Source organism: Homo sapiens, chromosome 7 (genome assembly GCF_000001405.40).
Source record: "Homo sapiens chromosome 7, GRCh38.p14 Primary Assembly".
Lineage (NCBI taxonomy): Eukaryota > Metazoa > Chordata > Mammalia > Primates > Hominidae > Homo > Homo sapiens.
Window position 1 is genome coordinate 54,545,347 of NC_000007.14, and position 8,072 is coordinate 54,553,418.

The following is an 8,072-nucleotide window of genomic DNA, read 5'->3' on the forward strand; positions in this document are numbered from 1 at the left end:
AAAGGGGGAGACCGGGAGAGGCACAGAGAAGGAGAAAGAGACGGAGAGAGGGAAGGGGGAAAAAGGGGAGAGACGGAAGGGAAAGAGAAGGGAGGGAGAAAGAAGGTAGAAGAGAAGGAGAGAGGGAAGGGGAAAAGAGGGAGAGAGGGAGTGAGGAGAGGGACAGAGAGAAGGGAAGGAGGGAAGGGAGAATTGGAGTGGGGAGGGGAGAAGAAGAGGGGGAGAGGGAGAAAGAAGGGGGAGAGAGGGAGAGAGGGACGGGGAGGGGGAAGGGGCTGGGAAAGAGGGAAGGGGGAGACGGGAAGAGACAGTGAAGGGGAAAGAGAGAGGGAAGGGGGAAAAAGGGAGAGAGGGAAGGGAAAGAGAGAGAGGGAAGGGGAAAAAGGGAGAGAGGGAAGGGAAAGAGAGGGCAGGGAGAGAGAAAGGAGAAGAGAAGGAGAGAGGGTAGGGGAAAAGGAGGGAGGGGGCGAGAGGGACAGAGAGAAGGGGAGGGGGAAGGAAGAGAGGGAGAATTGGAGTGGGAAGCAGAGAAGGAGAAGGGTAGAGGGAGAAAGAATGGGGAGAGAGGGAGAGAGGTAAGAGGGGGGAAGGGGGTGGGAGAGCAGAGAGAATGAGGGGGAAGGGGTGGGAGAGGAGAGAGAATGAGGGGGGAAGGGGGGAGGAAGAGAAGGAGCAGGAGAGACATGGGGGAGAGAGGGCACAGAAGGGAGAGAGGGAAGGAGAGGAAAAGGAGAGACGGAGGGAGAGGGAAGGGAGAGGGAGGGAAAGGAAGAGAGGGAGAGAGGAGTAGAGAAGAGGCAGGGAGAGGAGAGAAGGAGAGTGGAGAAGGGAAGGAAAAGGAGAGAAGAGAGGAAGCGAGGAGAGAAGGAAGTAGGGGAATGGGGAGTGTGGAGGGGACGGAGGGTGACTTGGGAAGAGACAGGAGAGAGGGTGGTGAGGTGGGGAAGGAGAGGGAGAAAGGAGGAGATGAGGAAAAGGAAAATAGCGGGAGGAGGGGAGAGGGGAAGGGGGTCCGGGCGAGGGAGACCTAGTTGAGCGAGAGGCGGCGCCCCTGCGAGCCAGCAAGAGAATCTGGGGCCAGGAGCGCGGGGCGGGACGGCAGGCGGGATGGTGGCCGGAACAAAGGCGCGAAAATTCGTCCCGGAGCACTTCACCTTCACTCACGCCGGCCGCCCCACCCCTGGCGCCCGCCCGCCTCACCCCTGGCGCCCCCCCGCCTGCCCGCCCGCCCACCCACCTCCGGGCGCGCGTCCGCACGGGTCAACCCGCGAAAAAGACCCGGCGGCTCCCGGCCCCGCCTCCAGAGCGCAGCATCCGCGCGGCAGGGACAGCGCCGGGACAGCGCCGGGACAGCCCCGGGACAGCCCCGGGGAAAGCGCGGGGACGGCGTGGGGTATGCCAGGGACAGCGTGGGGTATGCCAGGGACAGCGTGGGGGCGGTGCGGTCTGGGCCTGGACAGGGGTGGCCACGCCCCTGGTCGCTCCCCTGTCCCCAGGTCACCCTGACGGCCCTGCCCGGAGCCGCGAAGGCTATGCTCGCGTGGGAGCGGGTGGTCGGGCGGGCCTGGCGCGGGACTGAGCGTTCGCTCCTTGCCCGCAGGTGGAGCTCTTGCCCGACAGAGACCCGGACAGCGACGGGACCAAGATCAGCGTGAGTGCGGGGCGCGCCAAGGGCCGCGGGCCCAGGCTCGGGACGCACAGCCCTTCCCTGTCCCCGAGAAGGCGGCTTGCCAGCGCTGCAGGACAGCCGGACAGCCGGGTGCCCCTTGCTTGCCTCATTAGATACATACAAATGGAAGCACATTTAGAGTCCCTAAATAAAATTACATATTTTAGTCACGTAAATGTCTAAACATTCTAGAGAATCGTTTGCTATCCAGAGAGGTTGTGTGACACTTTCTTTCCTTGCTTTTTGTAACTTACCTAACAGTAAGAGTAAATACATTGCTAATATCTATTCAAAATTATGGAAACAATTATATTTTAGTAGAAAGTAAAACAGTAACATAGGAAAATATTTTTAGGGAGAAAAATATAAAGCATCCAACAGGATACTGAAATTGTGATGAAATTAAGCAACTAAATTTTGAATGTCACTTTAATGCATGGAATGTATTTCCAGTGCTGTTATTAAGAATATATAAATATAATGCCAAAAGCCAATATAAATGTAAAACCATTATTATAGGAGCTTGACCTATTGAAAATGTAAACTTATAGTTCCACTCTCTTGCTTATTACTTTTAATAAGTGTGTGTAAAATTTAAAAAGTGAAAGTCTTATTTTTTTACTATACCTCAAATGAGCCGCATAGCATCAGTTAATATTAATAATACTGCTTCATTTTTTAAATAGAAACGAAATAGGTATGTAATACAAAAGGAGGAAATCTGTTAAGCATAAACATATTGTTATTATTTGTTTTTAGAAATCTAAAATCCCAATGACCTACATTTTAAAAGAAAATGTATTTTAAGGCTCTTACAATAGCGTAAAGTGGTAGAAGATTGGAGTTACATCATAACTAAAAATGTACAAATATATTGTACACAGAATCTAGTTCTGTGATCTAAATGTGTAATCTCAACATGGAAGAAAAAATGACAAAGATGAAATATCAACCATAAACTCTGATTTAAAACTCATAAAATTACTGACTTTTTAGAATACTTCAATTATTCTTATATCACAGAAACTGTTGTTTTCCTACAATATTAGAAAAGCTTTATTGGTAAAATCTAGTTTTTTCTTAATTATTTTATTTTTCACATACATATATAACTAGATAGATTGCTTGGTGACTATTCTTCCTTCACCCTTCACCCGTCCCCCTATCATCTAAAGGCCAGTAACAAAAATAGTCTTCATACATCCTGACCCCTGATGCATACATTGAGAAACATGATTACACACACAACTGTTGATAGTATTACCTATGCCAATAATGCATAAAAGTTAATGAGTAGAAGAGAGTTTTAGACACAAACTGAGGCAGAAAGTAGTTTGTTCCCTGTTTACCCACTGTGTGACCTTGAACATATTTTCTCAACCACTAGTTATTAACTTTGAATTCCCAGGAGAGTTGTTATAAAATACTGATGATATAAGCTCCACCTTCCAGAGATGCAGACTTAATATTTCTGCATTACTCCACATGCCAGTATTTTTAATAGCACCCCAGGTGATTCTAATGTACACTCAGTGTTGAAAATCACTGACCCAAACACCCCAAGCCTCAGTTTACTCAACTATAAAATGGGATAATAATATAAATACTCTAGCTACCTCAAACTTTGTTAGGAGATTTAACCCAGAATAAATGTGGAAGTATTCACTTCATTTTTATAGTATTAGTATATTTATATGTAATTTTATATACACATAAACCCATAGGGTTCAAATGTTGGAAATTATTTGTATATATACCTCTATATGTAAAAGCAGATGAGTGCTTCTCAGGTTTTCCTAGTAATTTATGGCCGTTTGAAAGTGTAGTGGCCATTAGCAGAAAAAATAACTTTCGGCCTCCTTCATTTCTTTTCTGTATCTTTCAAAATGAACCAAATTCTTGAATCCCAAATGTCTTATGAACCCTATCATTGTCTCAGTTATGAAGAACATATGATTATGTATTAAACCTAACTGTTCTGATAAAGATGCTTATATATATAATATAGGATATATAATATAAAATCATATATCTAATATATATATCAGATATATGATCTTGCTATTAATCTGGAATAAAACTTATTAGAAGAAATAAATAAGCCAATTTCAATTTTGAAAATCAAGCCAGTGTTTTATCGATGGCATCCCAAGTCCCTGTAGTATAAAGTCCCTATAATGGCATGGGATACATACTTTGAGCAACAAGACTTCAGGTGATATGAAGCTGTACCCCAAGCCATGCCACCCTATGACTAGAGGCAAGACTGCATCTAAAATTTAAGAAGAAAAATATTAATATCCAAGTTCATTAATAGCACCTTTAGTAGTCATCCCAGTGTGGGGATACAAGTGCATTCTCACTCAAACTCATGACCAACAAAATATTTTTGTGATGTCTCAGAGTTGAGGGGCTTAGTTTATAGCCCACAGGGAAGAAAAGAGGTTGTTTCACCTATAGAGTTGGCCTTATTGGTTTGTGCTTCATTGAACTGAGTTAAGCAGGCAGAGGCCAATCCCATGATGGAAAAATGACGGAGCTGCTACTGGCATGTAGACAATGGGGGGCACGTGGCTGACAGAATCTGGCACTGGCTGCATTGAACTAATTATCTCCTGAGTCTGCAAGTGCAGTGGTTGGTGGAATAGGATAGCCAAGGCCTTCAGATGTGACGTTAAGGAAATAAAAAGCTCCTTCACTATGGCTATGGGGCCATTAAGACCCTTTAACTTTCCAATATTAGCAAGCTCAGGGTAAAAAATGGAACAAAATCATTTGATGTAGCACTTTATTGTTTTTTTTACCTGCAATTTTTCAGACAGTGAAAGTCCAAGGCAATGACATCTCCCACAAGCTTCAGATTTCCAAAGTGAGGAAAAAGGATGAAGGCTTATATGAGTGCAGGGTGACTGATGCCAACTACGGGGAGCTTCAGGAACACAAGGCCCAGGCCTATCTGAAAGTCAATGCCAACAGCCATGCCCGCAGAATGCAGGCCTTCGAAGCCTCGCCCATGTGGCTGCAGGATATGAAGCCCCGCAAGAACGTCTCCGCAGCCATCCCCAGCAGCATCCATGGCTCTGCCAACCAACGAACGCACTCCACCTCCAGCCCTCAAGTGGTAGCCAAAATCCCCAAACAAAGTCCACAATCAGGTATGGAAACCCATTTCGAGCCTTTTATTTTACCACTCACAAACGCTCCACAGAAAGGTCAGTCGTATAGAGTAGACAGATTTATGAATGGTGATTTTTAAAATCGGAGACCTAGTTCAGTGCAAGTGATTATGAGAGGTGAGCACCGAGCCTGCACCAATTCACTCAGAGCTCAAAGCATGTGGGTGCACCCCGTCAGTCCCCTAGTGGTGCTTCATTTCCAGGGCATCTGAGAGCTGGACTCTGGTTTTTATCCTTTCTGTATTTACACATTATAAGAACAATAAATCATGTAATGTTGGTTACATTACAAATGCATGTTCATTTTCTCTACAGATTTATGTATCGATAATGACCCAAATTAAGAGGCTTTCACTTAATCAAAATGTAAATGAGAGAGACATGCCATATCATGCATTTTCAGCGACCCATAGCTCTAAGCAGGACTATTCTCCAAGGGCTTTTGATTTTGAAGGAGAAACCTCAGCTGCCTGTGATGATGATAATGGAAGGATGGAGGGGGGATTGAAGACTGTAAGTGGTGCAGAGATAAGGCAACTCCTCTGTGAATTTGCCTTCCAGGCCAATTTAGAAGCTTAGTCACAGGATTCTGAAGGCAGCTGTGCAAGTTAAAGCTGTTCTGAATGGCATTAATGTATGCAGTCATTCAGCCAATGGAAATGCGTGGAAGTTTTAACCTTGATGTGGGATAAAGGCTTCGTGGAATGAGCAGTACCCTGCACAACCCCGCGGCCGTCCCGATTTCCTCAAACACGTGACATGGGATGAAGGGAGCACAAACATACTGACTTTATCCTTCTTTAGGTTTTTCCCTAAAGAAGTATTGATGCTACCATCAGTAATGGAAAATTACATTGCTAATATTTAAGGTCTCTTCAGCCATTAAATTAAAAAGTCTGATTACTTCACCAGGATGATTTCTGAGATCTCATCTCATATCGTCCTGAATACACACACACACACACACACACGCACACACACACACATCTCAGAAATCATCCTAATCAAATATAGACTTTATATATATCAAATATATATATACATGTAGAAATACATATAGGTATGTATCTTTAAGTCCTTGCTTGTGAACAATGCTTTTAAATGTTTTTAAAATACTGTATGCCAAAATAGGTTTTCTCTTAATGCTTTACTTCCTAATGGATGTGATTTGCAGATTTGTAGGGCACTTGGATTAGGGTTCTCTGAGTTTGCCCTGCCTTATAATGTAGATGAGCAACTCTCCTGGCATGCCTTGGTCATTGCAATTTATGTCAGTCTGATGAACAGATGGCTTAGCCTCTCTGAAGCCCAATGTGTGTGGATTTGTCTAATTTTTTTCTTTATAATCTTTTCTGCTTACCAAATTAAAGGACAAACTAGTATAGCTGGAACATATATGTGTGTATCCATACACACTAAACACACAGGTATATGCTAAATTGTAATGGTAACCAAATGATGGTTACAACTTTGTGACTATTATTTGAGGAAGATTTAATGTCTTTGGAGTGATTTTCCCCTCTTTCTTCACATTATCATAAAAGAAGTTAGACACTACAGGCAAGATTACAGAGTAGCCTAAGCAGACAATTTACAACCTAATTAGCAAGAACTCCAAATCATGGAAGTGAAATTATTATTATCCTACATAGACTGTTCCAAGTTAGATGTCATCAATCTGTTCGGCAGAATAAAATCAAACAGATTACCTATTCCAAGTGAAGAATTCCAAGGGTAGAATGAAATGCTTTATCTATTTCTAGAATGTTTTCTTAGCTTTTGGGGTTTAATAATGCAATCTCAAAATATCTATTTATTTTATTTTAATATCTCTTAGCGCTGTGATTAGTGCTAAATGATAAACTCTAGATCTCTTCTAACAATTATCAAATAAAAATTACTGCTCTTTTTGCATCCCATTGCCAGCCTTGCTGTCAGATTCAAAATTGCTTTTTCTAGAGTTAAAGGTAGAAGGAGAGAAAAAAGTGACTCATGAAGTCTATATTCATTAAAAGTCCTGTTCACTAAACATATCTGCTTATATCAAAGAGTAACTTGAAATATCTGAAAATATTTAATTTCAATATTTCCAACCAGTGAATACTGGATAATATTTTTATATACTTCTATCAACATTTTCTAATTTCGATTTCAGAAGCTGGGGCAGTCCAGTCACTCACTTTACTTATGTGTAAGTTCCTATACTTGCACAATTATTATATATGATTCAGTATCTGGGGTGGATATTTATATATTATATTCACTGTAATACCCACATCCTGATTTATGATTTTTGCCTCACGATTTTCAGATTATATTCAAATAAAGCTTATTTCAATACCCATGCTTCATTTATTCATTCATTTATTCACCTTCCATCCCTCCTAGGAACTCACATACCAGGCACAGGGACACAAACATGGAAGACACACTTCTTCTCCTCAAGGAGTTTGTATTTTAGTTTGCAAGAAAACAAAATATTTGTACATTCCATTTATCATCCATCTTTATTTCATTATTCTATGAAAGGCAAGATGTGGTGAAAGCACAAAAATCAAAATCTTGCTCTTGGAAGCCAATAGCTATATTGTACTAGCCTTTTATCTTTTATTGTTTGATACAAAGAGGCATCCTTCATCTATGGTATATGGGACACTGTCATCTCTGTCACAAAAGCTGGCCCGTTTGGCCCTTTATTTTCATCATAATCTTTGACTTAGTTGACTAAATTATTTAAACTGAAACACTCACCTCTTAATTGATACTATTTTTCTTTCAAAGAATTTCTGTTTTTAAATGAAGGAAAACATATTAGCTGAAAATAATTTTATATAAAATCTTCAAATTTTCATACAATTAATTTAACCAGTTTTTCTAGAGCAGAGATTTACATGAATAGAAGAAGATGGAAAAGATAGTCTATGACCATCTGCCTATCACAAGATAAAGCTAACTGTTATTTAATACGGCTAGTCCCATACCTTTTCCAGATATTTTCCAAAAGTTTTTGAGCATGTGACTTTCCCCTCCCACTTAAAATTCTTTTTTATCTTTGTGAATCCTTCACTTGTAAAATTATTTGAATTCTACCTCCATTTAGTAATCAGCAATTAAAACAAAATAATGAAGCAAAACGGTTAGGCAAACAGATAAACAAAACTTGGCTTTTGCAATCCCTTTGAAGTTTGCCGTCTTCAATTGTTCTGAACACTCTCCAGTTTTGTGTA

General features: G+C 41.6%; 1 protein-coding gene across 7 annotated transcripts in view; it reads left to right on the forward strand.

The window, feature by feature from the left end:
- VSTM2A (V-set and transmembrane domain containing 2A) overlaps positions 1-8,072 on the forward strand; it is a 28,693-nt gene that overhangs the window by 2,972 nt on the left and 17,649 nt on the right. For 5 of the 7 annotated variants that reach the window (XM_006715665.4, XM_006715666.4, NM_182546.4 and 2 more), the window contains exons 3-4: positions 1,601-1,651; positions 4,488-4,824. In XM_006715665.4, the coding sequence (XP_006715728.1) occupies positions 1,601-1,651; positions 4,488-4,824 (388 nt within the window). Of the gene's footprint in view, positions 1-814; positions 871-1,600; positions 1,652-4,487; positions 7,190-8,072 lie in introns of those variants that run through there. The other 2 variants (NR_133927.2, NM_001317843.2) reach the window with 2 other exon arrangements.